The 25,889-nt window shown below is 48.9% G+C and overlaps 1 protein-coding gene across 29 annotated transcripts in view, besides 3 other annotated features; it reads left to right on the forward strand.

Moving 5' to 3' along the window:
* Window positions 14,632-15,132: an enhancer, noted in NCBI's record as "H3K4me1 hESC enhancer chr1:43986941-43987441 (GRCh37/hg19 assembly coordinates)". NCBI's record gives its function as "activates a minimal SCP1, AML or CMV promoter by ChIP-STARR-seq in primed H9 embryonic stem cells {active_cell/tissue: H9 hESC(primed)}" and the evidence as "EXISTENCE:reporter gene assay evidence [ECO:0000049][PMID:30033119]".
* The window catches only part of PTPRF (protein tyrosine phosphatase receptor type F), a 101,616-nt gene continuing 91,139 nt past the window's right edge, over window positions 15,413-25,889 (forward strand). For 23 of the 29 annotated variants that reach the window (XM_005271079.4, XM_006710797.4, XM_006710801.4 and 20 more), the window contains exon 1: window positions 24,245-24,452. The gene's annotated coding sequence lies outside the window, so the exon portion shown is untranslated. Of the gene's footprint in view, window positions 15,663-18,453; window positions 18,620-19,398; window positions 19,508-22,018; window positions 22,119-24,244; window positions 24,453-25,889 lie in introns of those variants that run through there. The other 6 variants (NM_001329138.2, NM_001329137.2, XM_006710795.4 and 3 more) reach the window with 4 other exon arrangements.
* Window positions 24,956-25,025: a silencer, noted in NCBI's record as "silent region_786". NCBI's record gives its function as "represses an Ori minimal core promoter by ATAC-STARR-seq in GM12878 lymphoblastoid cells {active_cell/tissue: GM12878}" and the evidence as "EXISTENCE:reporter gene assay evidence [ECO:0000049][PMID:35858748]".
* Window positions 25,091-25,663: an enhancer, noted in NCBI's record as "H3K27ac-H3K4me1 hESC enhancer chr1:43997400-43997972 (GRCh37/hg19 assembly coordinates)". NCBI's record gives its function as "activates a minimal SCP1, AML or CMV promoter by ChIP-STARR-seq in naive H9 embryonic stem cells {active_cell/tissue: H9 hESC(naive)}" and the evidence as "EXISTENCE:reporter gene assay evidence [ECO:0000049][PMID:30033119]".

Consider the following 25,889-nt stretch of genomic DNA (forward strand, 5'->3'; position numbering starts at 1 on the left):
CCACAAAGCCCTGGGCCGTTCTGGGCTGTCCCTGAGGCTGTATGACTCTGGCCCTGCAATTCCAATGGACCAAACTTGCCCCCTCAGAGACATACCAGGAGCGGTGTCCTGCCAGGGCCAGGGGCTGACAGACAACCTTCAGAGCAGGGCCTTGTCTATTGAGATTGGGACCTGCTCACCTCCAGCTCCCCACATACATCTCCCCTCTGTTCCCAACTCTGATTTGAGTTGCCTCCCTCTCTGCCCGCTCACTAAGGGCTGGAATGCAGGTGACCCTCCGGATTCCGGAGGGTCTAACATTGTTAGGAAACCCTGGCTAAACTGTTCCCACTCCAGCTGGCTTCAGACATTCCAGATTCTCAAAGCTGTGCAATGCCCCTTGTCAAATGATTCACTCCAAACGCCTCTGGAACTCATGCACATGTGTGGAGCGCCTTCCCACACCTGGTAACCTGGGGTTACTAACTCAAGACCTGGCCTCCTAGCTCTCCACCATCAGGGGTCAGATCCCTCAGCTCACAGAGCCACAGGGACAATGGCTTTAGCAGCTGGGAGTTCAACGTGGGTTCCCTCTTCAGAAGCAAACCCTGGAAGGAAGATTCGCATGCAGGTGATTTAAGAAGAGTTCCCAGGAAGAGCCAGTAGGAGAGTGAGGCGTGGGGACCAAGAAAGGAAGGGGGTTAAGTAAGGGTGGGCTATTGATCAGTGTCCCACAGAAGGTGACTTTGGCCCAATCCCTTCACAGGTCTTTGAGGCTGGTGCAGGTCACATGTCAGATGACCCTGTCCAGGGAGCAGTGGAGCTGCAAGGTTTATAGCCCGAGCCCCTTAGTCACTGGTAAAGGTTGCCCTTGCCCCACATGCATTCCTAGGCACTTGCACCCTCCTTGCATTTACTTAAAATGGGCTCCAGGAGCCTGAGCTCAGCCTCTGGCAAAGATGGAGTGCAGGCTGTTGGAGGTGAAAGCACTCAGGTGGCTGGTGTGCAAAAGTGACCCAGGGGTATAGGGGCAGAATGCAGACAGCATTGGCTACAGAGTCTCTCTGTAATCATTTCTCAGTGCAAACTCTTCCTATCCCAGACCTGCAAACCTCTCACGCTCCCCTGGCATGTTCCAGCCTCCACTCTCAGCCTCTTCCCGTCCTGGGAGCAGAGCCCCTTGCTTGCTGCAGGGTCTGTCGCCTGGCATCTGCTCACCAGCTGGTGAGGCAGGCCTGGAACCCGATCCAGTCCAAGGGCATCTGCTCCCAGCTCCTCTCCCCTCCAGAAAAGGATTCAACCCCTTAAGAAATGGGAAGTCTGTTGAGGTTGGAGTTTCCTATAACCTCATAAAGGGGGATGGAAATCCCTTCCACATGAAGGGCAGCAAGGGCCTTGGGCATACCACCTGCCCCACAGAGCAGACAACCTCTAGACAAGTGGGAGTGTTTGTCCTGGGCAAAACCATCCTCTAAACCCTCACCTGTATGACCAGTGGATTTCTCTGAGCCCCCAGGGGAGCTCATGCCCTTCTGCTTCACCACCAAGCTCTCCACCCACCACTCAGGCTAGGAGGGAATCACTGGTCCTTTGATGCTCCTCTTCTCCTCTTCATTATATTTTGCTGTCTCCAGATTCAGTGTGGTGGAGAGACTTTGGGAGGCCAAAGCAGAGGATCACTTGAGGTCAGGAGTTCGAGACCAGGCTGGATAACATGGCAGAAACTCTGTCTGTACTAAAAACACAAAAATTAGCCAGGCATGGTGGCACACGCCTGTGGTCCCAGCTACTCAGGACGCTGAGGCACAAGAATCGCAACTCTGATTTGGGTTGTAAAACCTGGGCATCCTTAGCCAGAGGCCCCCTAGGAGGCCTTGGTTCATCTCCCCACCTGGGCAGTAGAAGTTATAGTGAACTGAGATCACCCCACTGCACTCCAGCCTGGGTGATGGAGCAAGACTCCAGCTCAAAAAAAGAAAGTGTGGTGGAGAGGGCTTCCCACATCCCCACAGATGTATGGGTGTCTCGCCCCAACTTGGGGTCAAGGTGTCACTGGGTTTTCATTTCAAAGGGTCACCGGTCAACTTTGTCTCTCCATCCGCCTCCTCACCATCCATCTCCTCCTACTCACGCCTCATCAAAAAAGAAGGCTGGCTTCTCTTTGGCCTCTCTGGGGCATTTCCTGTTCAGCTTGTCATGGGAGGTATAGTCAGTGTCCTCAGACAGGTGGATTCCCACTCTTCCAGGTCTCTCTTGGGTGGCTTGCTGTTTGGACATACCACCTTAACAGCCCTGGCCTCTGGCTGCATGTTAGAAACTGTCAGGAGTCCTGCCCCATCCCCTCTCAGATATGGAATTTTCTCAATTGCTAAGCTATTTTCTGCCTATCTGGGGCCACCAAACGCATTTTGAAACTCAACCTCCAGTCTGCAAACCTGGCTCTACACCTGGATAAATTGCAAGAAATCTTTCAGTGGCAATAACAGAACACCAGCTCAAATTACTACAGGGAAAAAGGGGGATTTGCTGGTTCATTCACTGAAAAATCACAGAGGCAGTTAGCTTCAGGCTCAGCTGGATCCAGGTGCTTAAACAAAGAGTTGGTAAATGACAGCCTGTGAGCCAAATCTAGCCTGCCACCTGTTTTGTAAATAACTTTCTATTGGAATGCAGCCGTGCTTATTTGTTTACATATTGTCTATGGCTGCTTGTACCCTACAACCACAGAGCTGAGTAGTTGCAACAGAGACCACATGGCCCACAAAGCTGAACATATTTACTATTGGCTCTTTATAGAAAAAGTTTGCCAACCCCTGGCTTGAACAATATCATCAGGAATGTGCCTTTATCTCTCATTGCCTAAAGGCTGTTGTTAGTGCCCTTGCCCTTCCCCCTAAACTGCAAAGACTGAGAGTGGCTGAGATGTGACTCCCCAAGTAAAGACCGGGGGGAAGGATAAATGGCTTTGGAGCAGGCCAAAACAACAGATGTCTGCTCTACAGGCTCTGAACTTGTTTTCTGTGCAGTGACAAGCCGTAAACCACTTGGAGTTTATCCTTCAGCTTGGTGGCATCCTGAATGAGACTGTCCCTGTCTCCTTGTTGCCAAGCCCAAAACAAGATCAACAAGTGATCATGGCTACAGCCCGACTATCACCATAGAGAGTGCTCAGTCAGCAGCACCGTTCCGGGGGCAGCGTGTGGATGAGAACATCTTCACACCAGCCCCAAGGCCCTATCCGATCTGCATAGAGCATGCCAAACACATTTAATTATGTTCTGTTCAGTCCCTTGGGCTGGGGAGTCCCCTTGGGGAGCAATTCTAGTCTTGCCAATTGAAGTTCTGCGGGTAAAATAATTCTTAGAATCTCACCATTTTTTGATGAGATGATCTCAAAACAGAAAATCCAAAAACTGATAAGAACTTTTCCCAACACCCTCCTGCCACCGAGTATGCTTCTTGATCTTTGCTGGGGTAGCTGGGCATGGGAGGAAGTACGCCTTCCAGACTTGACTGTCCAGTTTCAGAAGACAGCAATCAAGGTGTGCCAGTTTCAAAAAGCATCCCATGCTGAGTCATCTCCAGAAGGGCGGGTTGGTGGGCAGTGTTTTCTATGAACTGCACTGGGGCGCAGGTGTCACATTTTATTTGGACATCCTCTGCCATCTTGGGCCAGAGGAATCATGCCCTAATTAGCCCCAGCATCTGTTCCCTCCCCAAGGCCTAAAATCATCATGCGTGGACTCAGTGCCGCAGGGTAGCCTTTTTGAAACAGTACCAACTGCTTCCACAGACCATGTATGAGGCACAAGGAATCCTGTACAATACCTAATAATTAGGGCAATTTCTGTCATTCCTAGAGAATGGCGTTCGGGCCATAAGAGAAGCTTTGTACCCTTCCTGCCAAGAGACCTACTTCTTCCCTTTCACTGTCAACCACAGCTAGACATCTTCCTAGCAAAGCTCTTTGCCAGTCAACCACATTCATCTGGGGCAGAGAGGTAGATTTGGGTTATATAATTCAAGGCTATAAGTACAGCTTCTGAGCATTGCCCTAGGCTGTCAGCCAAGCCTCTTTTCCAGACCCTTTTGCCATTCCAAATGGTCTACGCTCCCTCATTAAAGATGGTCTCGGTGATACGAGGACATGACCTTTGTAACATAGCAGCTGCACCTTCACAGCACATGAAAACAACATTGGAATTACAGGCCACTGGAGCATCCCCTGAGCATGCCTCCCAATACCCAATCCAGTGCTGGTAAGTGAAGGGTGCAACAGCCCACACCTGAATGGTGCTCCAAATTCACATTCCTTAGATGTATTCTGATAACGCATATCAGCATTAAAAATGCTGGTCTGGGCCTGCTGCGGTGGCTAACACTTATGATCCCAGCACTTTGGGAGGCCGAGGCAGGAGGATAACTTGAGCCCAGGAGTTTAAGACCAGCCTGGGCAACATACTGAGAACTCATCTCTACAAAAAAAATTTTTTTAAATTAACTGGGCATGGTGGCATGCACCTGTAGTCTCAGCTACTCAGGAGGCTAAGGCGGAAGGATCACTTGAGGCTGGGAGGTCGAGGCTACAGTGAGCCATGACCAAGCCACTGTATTTCAGTATTTCAGCCTGAGTATTTCAGTCTCAAAAAAAAAAAAAAAAAAAAAAAAAAAAAAAAAAAAAAAAAGCTGGTCTGTTCATAGAGTATTGGGCCTTACTGCCAAATGGCCATTGATGAGCAACATCACAATTTTATTATCCCCATCGACCTGATATAACACCACCTTCCATCTGTTTGTCCTAGATCAAGATTGTCTGCTGGCATTCTTTCCTTTAGGGAACCACCTCTCCCTCATTCCATGTGGCTTAGGGGGCACTGATCCCCACTCAGTCCTCATCCTCAAGACCCAAAGGTGGGTGTGTGACATGAGCCTGCAAATCAGACTACTCCATTTCCAATCTCTAGCCGTAGTGATTAGTTCACAGATGGGCACATGACCAAGCTGAGCCAATCAGAATCTTCCCTGGGAGTTTTCTGCCAGAACTATCAAGAAAATGCTCCTGTATTCTCTGAGAGTGGAAGATGGAGCTGCCTTAGCCATTTTCACTGTCCATGTGAAGGAATAATTCTGCAATAGAAGAGAATGAGGCCAACAAGCAATGTGAACCAGAGAATAAACCAAGATGAGAGATGGAGGGGGATGGAGACAGGCACAGAAACAGAGAGAAACGTGATGACAGTTATATGAGTCCTTGAACCCAGCCATTTCTGAGTATCTAGTCTAGGCTTTGAGAAAATAAAATATTATAAGCACCAGTCTATTATTTCATCTTTGTTTAACATTGTAATTGAAACCAGAGGTTTCAATCCCAATAAATAAGGAATCTTCAGAGAATGAATAGTTATTGACACAGTGCTTTTGAGAATGCAAAGCACTGGACTGGACATAATTTTTTGTGTGGCAAAAATTAGGAGTAAGGTGAAAGGTAGAAAGTACAGAGAAAGAGAGACACATATACACACACACGCAGAAAGAGAGAGAAAGAGAGAGACTATTAACCATATGGAGTTAAGATCTTACTTCAAATTACATTTATTCTTATTTTATACCTTGTCATCATGATATTGAGCAGTTTGTATGCATGAAGCTCTCCTCTGACATTCTACTCTAACTGCAATGGTTTATTGTTTTACAACCCTTAACCCTGAGACTATGATGCTTGTTTATTGTAGAAAATTGTATTTACTCCTTGTAAGTTCGTTATAAGGAATTGAACTTTCCAGCAACCCTGTAATATTTCACCTGAACTGAGTATGACTTCAGTGCTCTTGTTTTATTTAAACCAAACAGCAGTACAAGGCTGGTATAGTTTCTTGGTGTTGGGAAAAAAAGTATTTGTAAAGTGTTTTTTTTTCCCCCTTGCATAAGTTATACAAGAAAAACAAATACTGGTTATAACGGACTCACATTAAAAGCACAATGCACAATTTAAACTTTCTTCCACACCCTGGGCTTTTGAGTTATGTCAACCAATATATTGTCCTTTCTTGTTCAGGTGCAACAGAAAGAATCTTGAGTAATGCACCTTCTGAGGGGGAGTGGTGAGGGAGGCAAGGGCTAGGTGGGTCAGCAGGGTGAGCTGATCCCTACTGTTCCTAACACTCTATCCTTTTTCAGGGCCTGAGGCTGCCCCTGACATTTTCAAGATACCTGGATACCATCTCTGAGCTAACACCGATTTCTAGAACTCCAGAATGCTACCGTGATGCCGTGGTCAGAGTGGGAATATATGGGGTCAGGGTAAATGGAGCTGTTGACCTGAGTCCACCCCATGGAAGGCCCAGCAAGGCCCCAACCCTATCTTGCAGTCATTCTCCTTGCTTCCGAAGGTGTCGTTGAAATCCATAGCACCAGCAGCCTGCATTCCCACACCAGATCCTTGATCTACGTGGATTAAGAGCTTTCTTTTTTTTTCCAGAGGAAGGACCTAGTATGATCTCCTGCCTTCTCCTTCCCTAGCCAAACAAAGTAAAGCTAGACTACATCCCTGGGATAATTAAAGATGTTAGTGAAACCACAAACAGCTTGAAATATACAGAATTGGTGATTCCTATCACATACCAGCTAATTCTCCAATTTGGCTGTAGCCAAAGAAAGACAGGCCTTGGAAAGTGGCAGTGGATCACCATATGGTTCGTTAGTGACAACAATTTGCGTCTGCTGCCCCAGACCTGGTCAGATCACATGTGTCCCCCTAGCTGTCTTCCTGGCTGCCTGTCCTAAAGGTTGTCTGTGGCTGTCTGGCTGAACCGTGGGTTCTTAACAACCACACCCCCTGGAAGCGCCAGTGCCAGGAGAGACTGCAGCCTCCCCCATGGGTGCCTTCTTGTTCCCTCTCATGCCAGGTATCCTTTGTTCCTAGGTGTGTAGTTCACCATGCCTTAGATGCCACCATGTTTGCTCACTTCACAGATGTGATGGAATCTGGTCACAGCTGACACTGGCCTTGCTCCACACTTCTGGATGATTTCACTCCAAGATACAATCTAAGCATGCAAGGAAGGAAAAAATCTGTCATAAACAACCATATCAGTCAACAAATGCACACCTGAGGCATCGAAAAACGTACAAAATCCCAAAATCCTGGATGCAGTAGTAATCCCAACACTTTGGAAGGTCAAGGCAGGAAGATCACTTGAGCTCGGGAGTTTGAGACCAGCCTGGGCAACATAGTGAGACTGCTTCTCTACAAAACAAAACAAAACAAAACAAACAAAAATTAGCCAAGTGTGGTGGCACATGCCTGTATTCCCAGCTACTCAGGAGGCTGAGGTGGGAGGATCAACTGAGCCTGGGAGGTAGAGGCTGCAGTAAGCTGTGTTTGCACCACTACATTCCAGCCTGGGCAATAGAGCAAGACCCTGTCTCAAACAAAAAAATCAAAGAAAAATGTACGAAATCATTGTTGACATCTGACTTGAGTGTTTCTTTCAGCACATGAGGAGAGTAGCCAGAGAAACGTTTTCAGAAATGGCTGAACCCAAACAGCACCTTAGTAAGCAAGGGCCTTTTCATGCGGGCATTCACTGCACCCCAAATGGCCACCTGCTCAAGGCCAGAAGGAGGAAAACCTCTTCCAACCACCTAGCACTTTCTCTGGCCTAGTAGTCTCCTCTAATCTCTTGCAGTAGTCTGCCTCTACCTCCCTGGACTCTGGTACACGCTATCAGCTGTTCAATCCCTCAGTTTCTTTCCAGATGAGGAAGGCTGGGGTGGAGATGGGTACCACTTGTTGGTGGAATATCGACAAGAAAGACAGACTTTTCATACTGCCAAGATCCATCCCCTCTTGGCATATGGCCTGTGTCATGATGCGGAAAGAGCTGTTGTCTGGTGACAAGTCAGGTGACCACATGTCCCTTTGGTTACCCTGGTCATCGTACATCTCGTGCTTCAGGAAGGCAGATATGGGCACAGAGAAGAACTTGCACCACCATAGTTGTCATTTCTATCTCAAGGTGGTTGCCACGGTTTCCCCCTGATTTGGAGCTGGTATTCCAAATTCCATCCCCTCTCAGGCTGATCAATCTTCATTTCTTTGTGCCGTAAATCTGCAAGCCTGGCAGTCCTAGTGAAGTTATACTCTGAAGTTTGAAAGGAACAATTTAACCAAGATGCAGCTGGGTATCACTCGATGGGGAGAAAATCCCAGAAAAGGCCCAGCCTTTAACCCACACATGATTGGGTCCTCTTGAGCCATTGCATCTGACACCCAAGACCAGACTTGAAGTCAGTCCCTACATACCATGAAATGCCCCTCAGTACAAATCCGACTCCAAAGTGACTGAACATTTCTTGAAGAGCTGGAGGAGGTTACATGACCCTATGCACAGCAGAATCCCTTGAGAATCTCCTTCAAAATCCATGCCCCTTTAGCATCTCTCCCAAAGGCATTAGCCAGTTTTCCCCTTCTCATTCCCGTTCTCCCACCCACTGTCCACTCCACAGCCTCTCCCTGCCAGGCTGGCTCTGGCCCTCCTCTGTTTTGTATATAAAAATCCTGCCAGCCTGAATATACCATTCAGCAAATGAGAAGCCAGCCAAAGGGTGCTCTGCAAAACAAAAGCACAGTCATTAGCTAAACAGCTCAACTAACCAAAACATTGTTCCCCAAGTGTGCCCTGGTGGTCCTCAGTTTATCCTACCACTCCATGTTCAAAAGCCCAAATATATCTATGTTAAGCCTTGTCCTATTTTTAAAAATAAAATTTCTACTCCTCTCCCCAAGCCGTCTTTCTGTCCCTGTTCTCAATGTGTGAGGTTATGAAAGTAGATTTAAAAGCTCTGCCCTGGCCAAAGTTGAGACAGCATCACTCTTTCACCACCATTTGCAACTCCAAACTTTTATGTGTTTTTACTAAACTGCCCTCCAAACCAGCATGTCCAACAGAACTTTCTGCATTGAGGGAAATGTTCCCTACAGGCACTGTCCAGTATGGAAGCCACTAGCCCATGTAAGCATTGAGATCTTGGAACTGACTAGGGTGACTGAGGAACCAAATTTCCAATTTTTATTTAATTTTAGTTTAAATAGCCCCATGTCGCTAGTGTCTACCGTATTGGATAGCACAACTCTAGCTTAATTCCTCTAATGACAATAAGAAGCATTATATGAAACTGTCAAAAAATATTTAAAGTCACCGTAGGCTGGGCACGGTCGCTCGTGCCTGTAATCCCAGCATTTTGGGAGGCCGAGGCTGCCAGATCACCTGAGGTTGGGAGTTCGAGACCAGCCTGACCAACATAGTGAAACTCTGTCTCCACCAAAAATACAAAAAATTAGCTGGGCGTGGTGATGGGCGTTTGTAATCCCAGCTACTCGGGAGGCTGAGGCAGGAGAATTGCTTGAACCCAGGAGGCAGAAGTTGCAGTGAGCCAGGATCACACCACTGCACTCCTGGGTGACAGAGCAAGACTCTGTGTCAAAACAATAAATAAATAAATAAAATAAATTCACTGTAGGCTAGTATCCAGGATGTTCACTAGTTCATGTATTATCCTCTCAATAGAAGAAATTTTTCTTAGGTCTAAGGAACTGAAAAAACAAAGCTGCTCCTTAACACCTAGTTTAGTTTATTTTGGTTTTTAATCTTAAGGATACCTAGGAATCACATAATCAAGCCTGTTTCCCTTTTTCCTTTGACTGTCAGGAAGCTCAGTCATATTTAGAGTCCATCTCTACTATGAGTACCTTTGGATCTTAATATTACCCTCAGTTCCATTTCTTTTTTCTACCCTGTTGTCTTTTTTAAAAAGTGTATAGTTCAATAATTTTTATTTATTTATGTATTTATTTTCCAAGACAGAGTCTTGCTCTGTCACCCAGGCTGGAGTGTGGTGGCACAATTTCGGCTCACTGTAACCTCTGCCTCCACCCCCAGGTTTAAGCAATTCTCTTGCCTCAGCCTCTGGAGTAGCTGGGATTACAGGCACATGCCACTACATTCAGCTAATTTTTTTGTATTTTTGGTAGAAATGGGGTTTCACCATGTTGGCCAGGCTGGTCTCGAACTTCTGACCTCGTGACCCACCCTCCTTGGCCTCCCAAAGTGCTGGGATTACAGATGTCAGCCACCGTGCCTGGCCAGTTCAATAATTTTAATAAATTTATAGAATTGTACAACTATCACCATGATTTAGTTTAAAAACATTTTTATCATCCCCCAAAGAATCCTTGCGCTCATTTCCAGTCAGTTCCTTTTCCCACAGTCAATCACTAATCGACTTTCTGTCTCCATAGATTTTCTTTCCTTGGACATTTTATACAAATGGAATCATACAATATATGATTTTTGTGTCTAGTTTCTTTCACTGAGCATAATGTTTTTGAGCTTCATCTGTAGCATCTATCCATATTGCATTCCTTTTTATTGCCAAATAGTATTCTACTGTATGGACATACTCCATTTTGTTTATCCATTCACAGTTGATAAACATTTGGGTTGTTTCTACTGTTTGGCTATTACAAATAATGCTGCTGTGAGCATTCTCATATAAATCCATCTGTGGACATATGTTTTCATTTCTCTTGGGCAGATAGATACCTAGGATTGAAATTACTGGGTCACATGGTAAATTTATGTGAAGAATCTGACAAACTGTCTCCAAAGTATGGCACCATTTTACATTCCCGTAAGCGACGTATGAGAGTTCCAGTTTCTCCACATCCTCACCAGCACTTGTTATTGCCTATCTTTTCTATTATAGCCTTTCCAGTGGGTGTGAAGTGGTATCTTGCTGGGGTTTTAATTTGTATTTCTCTAATGACTAATGATGTTGAGCATCTTTTCAAGTGCTTATTGGCCATTTATACGTGATCTTTGGTGAAATGTCTCTTCAGTTCTTATGCCTTAATTTATTTTATTTTTTGAGACAGAGTCTCACTCTATCGTCCAGGCTGGAGTGCAGTCGCACAATCTTGGCTCACTGCAACCTCTGCTTCCTGGGTTCAAGCGATTCTCCTGTCTCAGCTTCCCATGTAGCTGAGATTACAAGTACTTGCCACCACACCTGGCTAATTTGTGTATTTTTAGTAGAGATGGGGTTTCACCATGTTGGCCAGGCTCGTCTCGAACTCCTGACCTCAAGTGATTCACCCACCTCAGCATCCCAAAGTGCTGGGATTATAGGCATGAGCCACTGTGTCCGTCTGCAATTTTTTTTTAATTTTAGTTTTAATTTTTATTTCTTTTTATTTTATTATGTATTTATTTATTTATTTGAGAAAAGGTCTTGCTCTGTTCGCAGGCTGGAGTGCAATGGCACAATCTTGACTCGCTGCAATCTGCACCTCCCAGGCTCAAGCAATTCACCTGTGTCAGCCTCCCATGATTTTTTTTTTTTTTTTTAGACGGAGTTTCCATCTTGTTGTCCAGGCTGGAGCGCAGTGGCATGGTCTCGGCTCACTGCAACCTCCACTTCCCAGGTTCAAAGGATTCTCCTGCCTCAGCCTCCCAAGTAGCTGGGATTACAGGCACACGCCACCACGTCTGGCTAATTTTTTTTTTTTTTTTTGTATTTTTAGTAGAGACGGGGTTTCGCCATATTGGCCAGGCTGGTCTTGAACTCCTGACCTGAGGTGATGAGCCTGCTTCAACCTCCCAAAGTGCTGGGATTACAGGCATGAGCCACCTACGCCCGGCCATCCCACACAATTTTAAATTGAGTTATTTGCCTTCTTATTAGTTGTTAAGAGTTCTTTATATGTTCTGGGTACAAATCTTTTTATTAGATATATGATTTACAAATATTTTCTCCCAGTCTGTGGTTTGTCTTTCCACTTTCCTAATGGTGCTCTTTGGATTGAGAAGTTTTTAATCTTTATAAAGTCCAACTATTCCTTTTTTTAATTATTTGTGCTTTTTGGTATTGTATTTAAGAACTCTGCCTAACCCAAAGTCATGGAGAACTATTACTATGTTTTCTTCTAGGAGTTATATAATTTTATGTCTTACATTTAGGTCTATGACCCATTTCCAGTTAATTTTTACACATGGCATGAGACAAGAGTCTAAATTCATATTTTTTGCATGTGGATATTCAATTGTGTCAGAGCCATTTGTTGAAAAGACTATCCTTTTCCCATTGAATTTCCTTGGCACTTTTGTGGAAAATCAATTGACCGTAAGTGTAAGGGTTTATTTCTGGACTCTCATTTCTGTTCCATTGATTTGATGTCTATCCCATGCCAGTATCACACTGTCTTGATTCCTGTTCTTGTTGTCATTTTTTCTCTCTCTTCATATATTTATCTTTAATTTTATGTAACTGGGAGAATAGGTCCTCCCCTTTCCCTTTCCCCAAATTGATATCAGCCCTTGGCAAGGATGTAATTGAGGCTCCCTAAAATCAAACCATCAAAGCCTCTCTTGCGAAAATTATTGAGAAATCATTAAAGGGACTATGACCATATTCTTATTCGAACAAACCCCGAAGGGGATCAAGAAAGGAACAGACATCTACCCTTGCCACAATAATCGGATTTACTGATTCCCAGGGAATAGAGAAGACACACTGCTAATTATGAGGCAATTAAGGAATTATTTCCTTTCTCAATGTGGCTTTAGAATGTACTAGACCTAAGAAGTAATGTCTGTGTTTGAGCTATGGATACGAATGCATTTTATTTAGCAGGTTCAGTATGTAAAGAAGCCAATGGAAATATTGGATATCGAAAAGAAAGCCCTATTAGACGGCTCTCACCCATCTTGAAGGATGGGCTGTCAAATGCCAACACCCTTCTCCACAAGAATGATCTTGGGAGGAGGTTCCAACTCCAGCATTACTGATGCTGATGCAACTTCACGAAGCCTGCAGACATGACTCCAACGGAGTTGTCCTGACTTGGAGAATTGCACAGGGGAAAGGAAGGAATCCAGGAGACTGGTGGGGAAGGAAGGGATTTTCTGAAAGCGAATAAAGCTGCACTGGTGGGCGTGGGAAGGGTTGATGAAGAATGCAGTTGGAGAGAGGCTGTCTAATGGAGGACAGGAGAGAGAAGATAGCCCTCCACTCTTAGGTACTTTTCTCTTTGGTCTCTGGGAAAATCCTCGTTATTACCCAGCTACCACATTCTCTTCCTGCATTGTAATTCCTCTTTCAAGTTGCACTGCCCTTCATTAAAGCAAGTAAATATGGCAGCCCAGTGTTGGGCAATGGTCTTAAAGAGAATAAAAAGAGGCTGTGGTGAAGGGGCAGAGAACCTGCCTCATCCCCCACCTCTTCATTGGGACCCATGGAAATACTTCCCAGCAGAGACAAATTGAAACACGTGGCAGCCCTTAAAATGCATCACATGCCCTTGTAATAGTTTGCTTATAGAGTTTCTTACGGATAATAATGACAGCAAATATTTATTTTCTTGAGGTAGGATATTACAAGCTCCAGGTGGTGACCAGCATTATGGTATGTGATTCCCTGTAGAGCTTAGAAGAACATTTGAAATGGTGAGCCAGCTCCCAAGTGAACAATTCAAGAGAGGCATAAGACTGAGTCTTCTACTTCCCTGTTTACATTCGATGAAACCCACCTCTGAAGGGGCACTGGGGAGAGGTGAACAACTATGTGACATTTCAAAGTGTATTCAACTAGTCAGCTAGATAGAGAGCCCTACTATGTGCCAGGCATCTTCTATTACATGTTTTTTTATAAGTCACTGAAATCTTTTCTAAAAGAAGGTAAAGTATGGAAATAGAAAGAAGAAAAAGCACTCAATAAATCTTAGTTGAATAAATGAATTGCAAGAGCCAGATGGCGTGAGCCTTAAATGAGCAGGGATTTTTCCATGAGGCTGAAGGAATAATGATCTGGGAGTGGCTTTTGAGAGTGAGAAAGATGCTGCTCTGCCTCACTACTCTGTGGTTGTGGAATGGTGGCCTCCCCTGGAGGCAGCTGCTGTGTCCTCAGTTAGGCAGGAATTGCAGGGAGGAAGTCTGAAGGGGCTGAGAGTTTAAGAGGTTGAGGAAGGAGCAGTGGGGAGCTGGATGGGGGAGGGCAACTGCAGAAGAAGGTGGATGGATGTTGAAACAGGCTTTCATTCAGACAGTCGGGGATTACCAGGGTATGGGGCCTGGTGGGATTAGCTTTTAAATAGTTCTCCAAACTGGTGCTATTAGAGGCTTGATTATGCTAATTCTAATAATCATCAAATAGCTTCTATTTTCAAGAACCTACAATGTGCCAGGCTCTGACGAAGCTCTTTACAAACACAATTTCATGTCCTTCCTATAATGCTGCAAAGTCAGTATTATCCCCTTTTTACAGAAGAGGAAACTGAGACTTAGAGAAGTCCAAGACCACACAGCTAATAAGTGCCATGGGTCTTACTCAGAGCCAGGGCCATATTTTCCCAAATGCAAGGCCGCCCTCTCGCAGCCTAGTCTGCCCTCACTGAGGCCAGTTTAGCCTGAGGCATTGGGTGGTGTTGGTGGCATGTGTGTGGGGAGGTGTCCATGACATGCGCCTATGCAGCTTCAAGCGCCTTGCCAGAAGCTCCCCTATACTTCTGAATCCCACTGCCCATATGCCTGGATCCCCATGGGCTCCATCCCACTTTGCACAAAGAGCTGGGGACCCAGAGAGATACACAGCCTCGGGGTGATGTCTGCTGCCTCAGAGAGGAGTTGACCCTCTATGGCCCCTTCACAAGCACAACTGTGCGGGCCACATTCTGGCCAGCGCGGTGCAGCTAGCCCCCTATACATACATCTGGCGTTACCTGCCTCTCACCCAGCTGAGCGCTCAGTGCATGTGCCTAATTCACCAATGCATTCATTCAAAAAAGATGGATTGAGCACCTCCTATATACCAAGCACTGTCCTAGTGCTAGAGATCTGGCAGGAATAAAGTAATGTAGATTCCTGCCCTGCTAGACCTTAGAGTCTAGCAGCAGAAACAGTTGTTAAACAAAAATGAAATCAAACTACAGATTGTGCTAAATTATGTGAAGGAAATAAAGAGAGTGCCGTCGCAGTGATGGAAAACTATTTTAGATAGGGTGGTCAGCTGGTCAGCAAAGGCTTATCTGAGAGGGTGACATTTCAGTGGAGACACGATAGACCCCTCAGATCCCCTTCCACCATTTTTGGTGAGGGGGTGAGAGGCAGACGCAGCCCCACCTTCAGCGTGCCTTGCCTTCCAGCAGCTAGCACCAGTTCTTTTATGGAGGACGGTCCTCGACTTCCTGGAGCCACTCTGTCTGCATGCAAGCTAGAAAGTCCCCGAAGAGGGTGTACTCATCACCCGCCATTCTCAGCCCCACTGGTAGCCCTCAACAGATGACTAAGGAGGCTAGGAGGTATGAAGGCTCACGCCCTTGGCAGGGGTGGGGACAACACTGAGGCATACATTTCCACTCATGGGTCCCCCTGAGGTCAGGCTGAAGCTACTCTTCCAAGAACATGGCCTGAAATCCCCCCTTGCTTGGCTTCTTCCCCTTCTCTGTTCGGCTTCCCCTTCTGCTTTGCCAGTTTCCCCCAGGAACCCTTGCTTAATAAATCACTTCATCTCAGGGTCTTCTTCTGGGAAACCTGACCTAACACAGACATGAAAAATGAAAAGGAGACAGCCACGCAAATATCTGGGAAAAGAGCTCCAGGTGCCATAGGAGGAGCGGCGTCAGAAGGGTGAGCCTAATAGAGGAAATGAGTGAAAGAGTAACTCTCCCCTGCTTTTCTTCTTTCCTTCCTAGTGACTGTTCGTTTTTTCTCCTTTGTGGGCTCTTCTGCCTTTCCTTGGTCTCCAGATATTGAGGATAACAATAGCTAACATTTACTGGGTAGTGACTGGGTGCCAGACATTACTCTAGACACCTTATATGGATTTAACATATAGCTATTGAGTGAATGACATGGATGACAGGCATCAATCCATTAAATGTGTAACAAGAAGTATAAAGGAATGCTCTGGCAGACAGCAACAGGGCCCTGTACTTATTCAGACTAAGGGTCAGGGAAGGCTGCCCCAAGGCAGTGATGCTTGAACCAAAAGTGAAGAATGAGTTACCATGTGAAGGAGGTGGGGTGGAAAGTCTTCTAGAAAGAATGGGGAGAGGGAAGGGGGAAATGCAGTATGTTTGAGGAATTGAAAGGAAGCTGGCGCCACCGCAGAGGACTGAACCAGAAGCGTTGTGTTGGATGAGGTGGGGAGGTAGGCAAAGGGAGGGCATTTCATCCATGTGGAGGAGCTGGCTCCTAATCCAGCCCCATGTAAGCCATTCGAAGGTTTTCGTGGCGGAGTGACATAACCCCATTTGCGGCTGCAGCGCAGAGATAAGATGGGGGAGGGGCAGAGCAGATGTAGAGAGATCAGTGAGGAGGCGCTGCAGAGGTCCAGATAAGAGTTAATGGTGGCTTGGACCAGTGAGGCATCAGCAGAGTTGAAGAGAAAGGTACAGATTAGAGAGGTGCTCTGGAGGTAAAATGAACAGGATTCTGGCTTGCCTATAGATGGACAGTGGGGCCACTGACTCAGACAGAGAACTCGAGAAAGGAATCAGGGAGTGAAGATCTGGTGGGAGATCTTGGGCATGCTGGGGCTGAGGTGCCCTTGGGACACAGGTGGAGATGTTGACTAGGCAGCTGGCTGGGCTCCTCCCCATCAAGGGCTTACACAAGAGGTTCCCTGGGTAAGAGTCATAAAGGTGTGAATCATCGGCAGATGGACAGTACTCAATGCTGTAGGCATGGATGAGATCACCAGGGACAGAGTCCACAGTAAGAAGGGGAAAGGCCAAGGCATGGGCGTCGAGGGACAGGAGCACTTGATGGATTGAGTGGAGGAGGATGACCCCGCCAAGGAGACTGAGAAGAAGACCAAGGAGTTAAGAGGCAAACCAGGAGAGTATGGTGTCAAGGGAGCCAAAGAAGTTAGGGTTTGAAGAATGCAGTAATCAAGAGGTCTAAGAAAATGAATACCGAAAAAAAAACTGGCCTTCAAATTTTAAGACATGGAGATCATAGCACAGACATTGTGTTTTGGGGAGATGTTGGGGGCAGAGATAGTAAAAGCCAGATTTGACCAAATGTTGGATGAAGTGAGTAGGAATGCCATAATGGCAAACAGAACACTCTTATGGAAGAAGAGGCTGGGGCCGGGCATGGTGGCTCACGCCTATAATCCCAGCAACTTTGGGAGGCCAAGGCGGACAGATCACTTGAGGCCAGGAGTTCAAGGCCAGCCTGGCCAACATGGCGAATCCCCTAAGTCTACTAAAGAAAAAAAAAAAAGGAAAAAAAAATTAGCCAGGCATGGTGCCATGCACCTGTGGTCCCAGCTACTCGGGAGGCTGAGGCACAAGAATCACCTGAACTCAGGAGGTGGAGGTTGCAGTGAGCCGAGATCGCATCACCCTGGGTGCCAAAGCGAGACTCTGTCAAAAAAAAAAAAAAAAAAAAAAAAGGAAGAAAGAAAGAAAGAAGAGAGGCCGGGAACTCAGGAATGGAAAACCAAATACCGTACATCCTCACTTAGAAGCAGGAGCTAAGCTGTGAGTACGCAAAGGCATACAGGTTGGTATAATGGACTTTAGAGGCTCAGAAGTGGGAGGATGGCGGTGGTAAGGGATACATATTGGGTACAATGTTCGATATTCAGATGACGGATGCACCAAAATCTCAGAATTCACCACTCTATAATTCGTCCATTAAAAATCACTTGTACTCCAAAAGCTATTGAAATTTTTTAAATGTGAAAGAAAGAAAAGGCCAGGTGCTGTGGTTCACATGTGTAATCCCAGCACTTTGGGAGGCCAAGGTGGAAGCATCATTAGAAGCCAGGAGCTCGAGACCAGCCTGGGCAATATAGTGAGACCCCACCTCTACAAAAAATAAAATAAATAAATAAAGTTGATGGAGAAATGGAGGAGAAAGTAAGCATGCAGGGAGTAGGTTTATGGATGGCTCCAGTTGAAGGTTGGGGGTGGTGCTCAGGGAAGGAGGGGACAATGGATAGGTGAGGGGCCTGAGAAGCAGGAGTGGGTAGGGAATCTAGGATTGGCAGAGACACTGGCCTGAGAGAGGAGGAGGGTGCTTCCTGTAAGGCAGCAGGAGAGAGGGCAGATGTGGGGAGGTGTGTGAATGTGCTAGTGGAGAGCCAGGAAAATTCTGTGGTGGCTTTAATCCTCTCTATAAAGATGTGGCAAGGTCCCATCTGACAGCGAGGGGAAAATGGGCTGGCTGAAGGTGTAAAGAGAATGGGGAGGGCTGGAATAGCCGTTACAGAGAGTGCGGTTCCAAGCCGACTGGAGAACTGCGCAGAGGGCCCCTATGTAGTCCCTGCTTTAAGGGAACATCTGTCTGACCTGTGGAGTCATGTGGTTGCTTGAGCACCGCCCTGTGACGGCAGACAGGAGGGCTCACTTGGAGCTGGCTTTTTGCCAGACAGATATGATAAAAAGGCAGAGAGGCCAAGAGGCTTGGGTTATTGACAAGAGTGTTATTAAAATGCTGGACCTTGGCATCTAAGTTGGACCAGGAGAAAAGTGAAAAGGAGAGAGCTGAGGAGAGCTCTCTAGGAGAACACGAGGTCAACAGCAGAGAGATCTGATGAGACGGAGCAGTGATCGCGAGGTAGAGGGAGCAAGGTGGGAGCAGGAGAGGAGCAGTTTTGGGAGAGGACAGGACCCAGCGTGGGATGCTTAGAAAGAGTAGGCTGGGCAGCCTTCAAGGGTCGGCCATTGTGATGAGAGGTCCAGGAGCTGTCTGTCTGCACCGGCACTGAAGTAACCCAGGCTGATGGCAGGAAGTAGCAAAGGCCACTGAGGAGTACACTAAGCTGGAAACAGAGGCCCAGCCATTAGCTTTGGCAAAATGGAGGGGAAGAGTCATTATATCAAGAGCAACATCAGGCCAGGCGTGGTGGCTCACGCCTGTAATCCCAGCATGTTGGGAGGCCGAGGCAGGCAGATTACTTGAGGTCAGGAGTTCAAGACCAACTCCTGGCCAATATGGTGAAACCCCGTCTCTACTAAAAAGACAAAAATTAGCTGGGCGTGGTGGCGGGCACCTGTAATCCCAGCTACTTGGAAGGGTGAAGCAGAAGAATCGCTTGAACCCAGGAGGTGGAGGTTGCAGTGAGCCGAGATGGCGCCACTGCCCTCCAGCCTAGACGACAGAGCAAGACTCAGTCTCAAAAAAAAAAAAAAAAAAAAAAAAAGAGCAACATCAGTGAAAGCCAGAAAGCAGGGTTGTGGTGGGTTGGGGAGCGAGCAGGAGATGGAGGAATAGAGGCGTCCTGTAGAAATGGCTTTTGGGTTTGTGGGGAAGGAGAACAGAGAGGCACTTGAGTCTCTCCCACTCTGGAGAGGCGTGTGGGGCCAAGGGAGGGAATTTTTTTTAGGATGGGAAAGACATGCGCATGGGCAGATGGGAATGCTATAGTGAAGAGGGTGCAGTGGACGGGGAATAGAGAGCAAAGCCTGGAGGCGCCGGAGCACCCTGAGCACAGGGGAGACAGAGCGGAAGGAGGAGAGGTGTGTGGGTTTGCGGATTTGGTAGTGGGAGATGAGGGAGTCCTCCTGTGGTGGCTTCTGTTTTCTCCGGGAAACATAAGCAGTGTTCATTGAGAAATTAACTCCTGTATCATTTCTCCCTGCCCATAGTGACTCAGCCGGAAGAAATGAAAGGCATTAGCCAGGGCCAGGCACTGCAGCTCATGGCTGCTGTAATCCCAGCGCTTTGGGAGGCTGAGGCTGGAGGATCTCCTGAGCCCAGGAGTTCGAGATCAGCCTGGGCAACATGATGAGATTTTGTCCCTACAAAAAAAATTTTTTTTTTTTAATTAAAAAAGCATTAGTCAAGCTTTTGTGTTCTAAGTCCTGGGCCTTTTTTCTCCCACCTCATACCTGAGAAAGTAAATAGGCCGTTTTGTAGTTCTTGTGTCTGAGCTAAGAGGGAGAATACCACTGTGTCTTGGGGAATTGATGCTTTGGCATGGAAGAGAGGGGCAGGGGAACAGGCATTCTCCATCCCACCCTGACCTGCCCCCAGAAGAAAGTGGCTGCATGCGATTCGAAAGCCAAGGACTAAGGGCTGCAACTGCGGGGGCCTGTGGGAGAGGTCCTCTTGAAAGAGCTGGGATGGAGGGAGTAGAGGGTTATCTTCCCAAGGACCAGGTTGGACAAGTGAGGCCCTGCAGATGGGCAAAAAATAGTGGAAGCCCTGTGACTGTGACCACTGATGTCTGCAACAGCAGCAGCAGCAGCCTGAAAAATCCTTCCACCTTTCTCTGCAAGGCTGTGGAGCACGGACTGACCATCTCTGGGATTGTGCAAACCCCTGGAGTTCATGGATGATCGGAGGGAGCTGAAGGGCAGCCATGAGTGATAGGGAAATCTTGCTGATCTGATGGGTAGAGACTCAAGCTGAATTTAATTTGGTTTAGACCAACTAAGGGATGACCAAAAGGTGTATTTACGTCATGAGTTGCAGAGAGTGTCCAGTTGGCCCAGGACCTGGACAAAGGGTGAGCAGTGAGTGGGAGCTGACATCTGGCTCTCTCCTCACCCTGCACCCTGGGGCTGGAACACAGCAGACACACAATGACCACATGGTGCCACTCGGCCTTCACAGATGAGCACAAGGACATCCCTCCCCGCCAGGCCCAGGAGCAGGGCAGCAGGGCAGCCCCACGTGGACCCCGTGCTCACAGTTTGGCAAACTGGACAGAGCCTTGGCTCTTCTCCTTCAGCAGCTATCACGCTCTCCCAGGCCCGGCCACCTGAGCTTCTCATCCATGTGGCTTTGGCACCTAGGCCTCTAGTTTCATTACCTTGGGTTTGTATCTAGTTCCAGATGGCGTACATGCAGAGATCTGGGCAGGCTGCTTACAGGCATTCTCTTGCCCTGCCTCGACAAACACTTTGCCACATGTGGGTGAATGAGAGGGCAGACGCCAATGGGTTAGGATTCTGAGACCCCTGTGTCCCTGTGGGGTTTGGAGCAAGAGACTGGTTGGCACAGCAGTGAGCACATCTGCTAACTTCAACCACAGGAAGCCAGGGGTCCCAGCTCACCTACCTTCCAGTACTGTGCTCAGTAGCCTTGACAATGCGGGGCAGAGGGAACAGGGCTGCCAGAGCTTCAGGACTACCAAGGCCCAGGCTAGCAGGCACACAGGCTAGCGAACACCACGAGCCCCTCTTCTAGTGCATGCCAGGGCTACAGAAGACTGGGGCTGGATGAGCTCTAAGACTTGGTCAGGGAGCTGTTCCCTCACTTAGTCATTTATGTCTGATGGTTCCTTGAGCACAGATAGGAAAGTCAATCTTCATTCTTTAACAAATATGTATCAAGTATCTATTGTGTGTGAGGACCCTGTGCTGGCCACTGGGATATGACAGGGAACAAGGTGGACTCATTTCTCCTGCCTGCAAGGAACTGCTGTCCACAGGTCAGGGAGATAGGCACAGATACAAACAGTGGTGACAGCCAGGATGGCTTCCTGGAGGAAACAATGGTTCCAAACAGGTACAGTTGGCTCTGAGGTGCCAAAACACACTAAAGGTAGAGCAAGTCTTTTATTTTATTTTATTTTTTAAAACAGAGTCTTGCTCTGTGGCCCAGGCTGGAGTGCAGTGGAGCAATCTCCACTGCAACCTCTGCCTTCCAGGTTCAAGCAATTCTCCTGCCCCAGCCTCCCAAGTAGCTGGAATTACAGGTGCACACCTGGCTAATTTTTGTATTTTTTTTTTCTTTTAGTAGAGATGGGGTTTCACCATGTTGGCCAGGCTGGTCTCGAACTCCTGACCTCGGGTGATCTGCCCGCCTCAGCCCCCCAAAGTGCTGGGATTGTAGGCGTAAGCCACCATGCCTGGCCAGTAGAGCAAGTCTTAAGGGGCATTATATTATAACTGCATGCAAGAGAAGTTAGGACCAGTTTGGCTTTGTGCGTGTGTGGACTGAAACCCAAAAGCCAGAAACTCTCTGCATGTGTCCCTCATGGAGCCATATGGTCTCTAGTCTCTGTTTTTCAAAATTTGCAGGACTGATGACTGATTGGACAGTGGTGCAGGAGGGAAGGTCTCTGCATGTCAGTGATTAAATTGCTGAAGATGCCACTGCCTGAGACGGGCAGTATTGAAGGTAAGCAGATCTGGGGTGGGCGGGACAGAGGAGGCTCTTAGTTATATGGATCTGGAGCTCACAGGAGCGGCCCAGACTGGAGATAGAGACTTGGAAGTCATCAGCATATGGTTGGTAGTGGTCAAGATGATCCAGAGAAAAGGGGCAGAGCAGGAGAAAAGAGGAGGCCTAGGACAGAGTCCCGGAAGAGCAGAAGACGAGGTGGTAAAGGAATCAGAGACAGTAGCCAGTGAGGAGAGGGTGGGCCAATGAAGCCAAGGAAAAGAACTGTTTTAATAACTCAGCAATGGGCAGGAATAATTGGCTGAAAAGTATACTTTTAAAATTTGGGGGCCGAGAGGGAATCTCTAAATCCTCAAAGTTCTGGAAAAAAAGGCAAAAATGCTTAAAGATGCATAAAATTTGCAATACCTCCCCCGTGGTGCACCAAAATTACCAATGGTGAAAAACCACTCACTGGAAATATTCATTTTTGATCCGTTTGTCATCCAAACCAAATTGTCCAGAATCACTGGAGCCAGTCCCATCCCCTCCTCATACGCCAGGGGGCGCACACGCACTGTTTGTGAATTCAAGTTCAGGACAAAAACAGGCAGTGAATCAGGTGGTTACCAGAACCTGATTCCTCAGCCCAGATCCCTGAACACCACAGCAACCATGCCCTGCACATTACCACGTGATCCCTGAATCCAGGCACCTCAACGATCTCCAAATTTTATTTCTCACCTGACTCCAAACTTACAGGGTTATCAGAAAGACCCCACAGAAGAAACCCCACAGAGGAGAAACCTCATCTCTTTTTCTGCTCAGTTACCTGACCCAGGGCAGTGGGGGTAGGTCCCCCATCCTTCATGGTGAAGCCTAGCAAGCGGCGGGGGGAGGAGGGGTGGGGTAGATAGGAAAGAGCTGGTGTGGCTTTGGCTGACTCTTAAGTGGTTTTAACACGGATTGCGTGGGGGCGGGGTCTGGAGGCAGGGGCGCTTGGATTGAAGCTCATCAAATCCCTCTGATCAGTAGGTCTTGGAATAAATCTTCAGGTAGGTTATTGGTTTCACCCAGAAATTTCTAGGGTCATTATTTGAGTTTGGTATGAGAAGTCAGAAACTCAGTACTGACATTTAAATTACATTTAGAGGGCATTATCATGTCTTTAATTCCGAGGCCAATGTAAGGTTCACAGCTGGAATTGGTATAATATTGGGGTATTAGTCAGTCTCTGCTTGGGGTTGACACTAGGTCAGAGAAGTGGAGGGTGAACATGAGGATGAAGGGGCTTTGTGTGGAGTTTCTGCAAAGCCAGTCTTATCTTGGGTTCCAAGATTATTATTAAAGCTGGGTTGGTTTAGGGTCCTAAATGGTCTCAAGTTTGGGTGGGGTTTCAGGTCAGTATCTGTGTTTGGGGGTCCTTTTATGGTGACCCAATCCCAACTCTGGAATTGAGAATCGAATTCAGAGTGCATTGGTGTTGATCTGGGAATGGGAGAGCAGTACTGGAGTTTTATGTAAGGCTTGGGGTTCAGAAGAGAGATAACTGGGGTCCATAGCAAGGTAGCTTTTGGACTTTAGGGTTCATTTAGGGACTGGGGGCTGAGCATTAGTACAGGGTTCCATTTAAGGTCCAGCGTTGGTGCTAGCGTCACTATCAAGGTTAGGGCAAGTAGAAGTAATAAAGAGATTTAGAGTCAGAATTGGTATTTGGGATCAGTATAGAGGTTCACAACAAAATTACTACTTGTGCTAATTTGGGGGCAGATTAAGGGCTTTGGACTCAATATTGGGTTTAGGGCAAGGTGTGGGCTCAGTATCAGGTTCAGATCTGTATGGGGAGGAAATGGGGTCCTAGAGTGGTATTAGGTTCATGCTAGGGCTGGGAGCCACTAGAAGGATCTGGATGTAGTATCAGAGTTTGGTCTGTCTATGTTCATTATTGGGGTTCGGGTTCAATATTGAGGTTCCGGTCGGTTTCGACTTGGCGTTGGGTTGTGGCCTGTCTGGGCCTCAGCGGCTCCGCGGCTCTACGAGCGAGAGTGCACGAGGGGAGGGGCGCCGCCGGGGGCGCGCACGGCAGGGGCAGGGGCGCGGGCGCGAGCGCGAGGGGAGCGCGCGGCTGGAGCTGGCGCGGGAGCGGCGGGAGCGGTGGCGGCGGCAGAGGCGGCGGCTCCAGCTTCGGCTCCGGCTCGGGCTCGGGCTCCGGCTCCGGCTCCGGCTCCGGCTCCAGCTCGGGTGGCGGTGGCGGGAGCGGGACCAGGTGGAGGCGGCGGCGGCAGAGGAGTGGGAGCAGCGGCCCTAGCGGCTTGCGGGGGGACATGCGGACCGACGGCCCCTGGATAGGCGGTGAGTGACCCCCCGGCCCCCCACCAGCCCCCTCCGCTCCCGTCCCTTCCCCGCTCTCCTTGCCCTCCCCGCTAGTCCACCCGGCGGAGCTGGGGGCGGTCCCGGGGGGGACGAGGGCGCCGCTGAGGCCGGGCCGCGCCCCCACCTGCCGCGCCCGCAGCCTCGGCGAAGCCCCCCCTCCACGCCCCAGCCTGGCGGCTCCTCCCCGCTCACCCCGCGGCAGACGCGCCCCCAGCGCTGCTGGCTGGCTCGCTCCCCGCCGCCCCTCGCCGCCTCCCTCCCTCTCCACCGCACCTTAGCCGCAGCCCGCCCCCCCCACCCAGCGCAAAGTTTCCCGTTTGCGTTCTTGCTCCCCCTCATCGGTCCCGCCTCGTCCCCCCTTCTAGCGCGGACGCGCTCCGGGGGCGGCCCTCAGACCCCCCAGCCCCGGGCTCCGGGCGGGTCCAGGCCGCGCCCCCGCCCCCGCCGCACAGGCGCCCCCTCCCAGCCGGCGGGGGATCCGCAGCCGGCGCGCCCGGGTCTCGCTCGCGGCCCCGGCGCACGTGCGGTCCCGGGCTGCGCCGGGCGCGAGTTTGAAGCCCCCCCACCCCCTTCGTTCGCGAGCACGGGATGGGGAGGGGCCGAACGGGCTGTACCCGCCCCCAACCGGGTGCAACGCCCTGGAGGCCCTGGAGCGACCTGTCCCGTGAGGACGTGGCCACTCGGACCCTCTCCGAAAGTTCACTCAGTGGCCGCCCCGCGTCCCGTCCCGTCCCGTCCCGGCTCCCCATCGCCGTGCCGGCGTCTCTGTCTCGGCTGCTTTCTGTTTTCCTCGGCGTCTCTGCCTCCCCGTGTCAGTGCCTCCCAATCTCACGCCCCTGCAATCCCAGGGTCTCTCCAGCTGTCTCCATTCTTTTTCCCCAGGTCACTCTGTTCTTTCTCCCCAGGTCTCTCGATTCTGTCTCCCTGGGTCGTCTTGTTCCCTGTCCCTGAGTCTGTTCTCTCCGCTTGGGTCTCTCTATTTCCTCTCCCTGGGTCTCTGTCTCCCTCCTTAAGTCTCTGCCTCTTGTCTCTCACCCATCTCTTGGTGTCTCTGCACTCTCTGTGCTAGGCGCCCCCCCATTTCCCTGGAATGCTGCCCCTCTGGTTCTTCCACCCCGGAGGGGGAGGGGCTAGACTTTCTCCCCATTTCAAGCCCCCCTGCCCCCCAGTGCACGGCCCCTGAGTTGGAGCAGGTTGGGGGTGGGGAGCGCTACCTGCCTGAGCTGTGAAATGGGAGAGGGAGGCTGCCCCAGCCTGGGGGTTGTCTGGATCTCCCTGAGGGGCCACAGGGCAGGGCCGGGAGGCTGGATTAGGTTGAGGAAGGCTCCACTTTTGAAGGAACAGGGGCAGGGATCCAGAGCGATCTGGTGTCGGATCTGGCCTGAGAAGCAGGGAAGTGCACTGGGGTGAGAGGCG

This window comes from Homo sapiens, chromosome 1, assembly GCF_000001405.40.
Source record: "Homo sapiens chromosome 1, GRCh38.p14 Primary Assembly".
Lineage (NCBI taxonomy): Eukaryota > Metazoa > Chordata > Mammalia > Primates > Hominidae > Homo > Homo sapiens.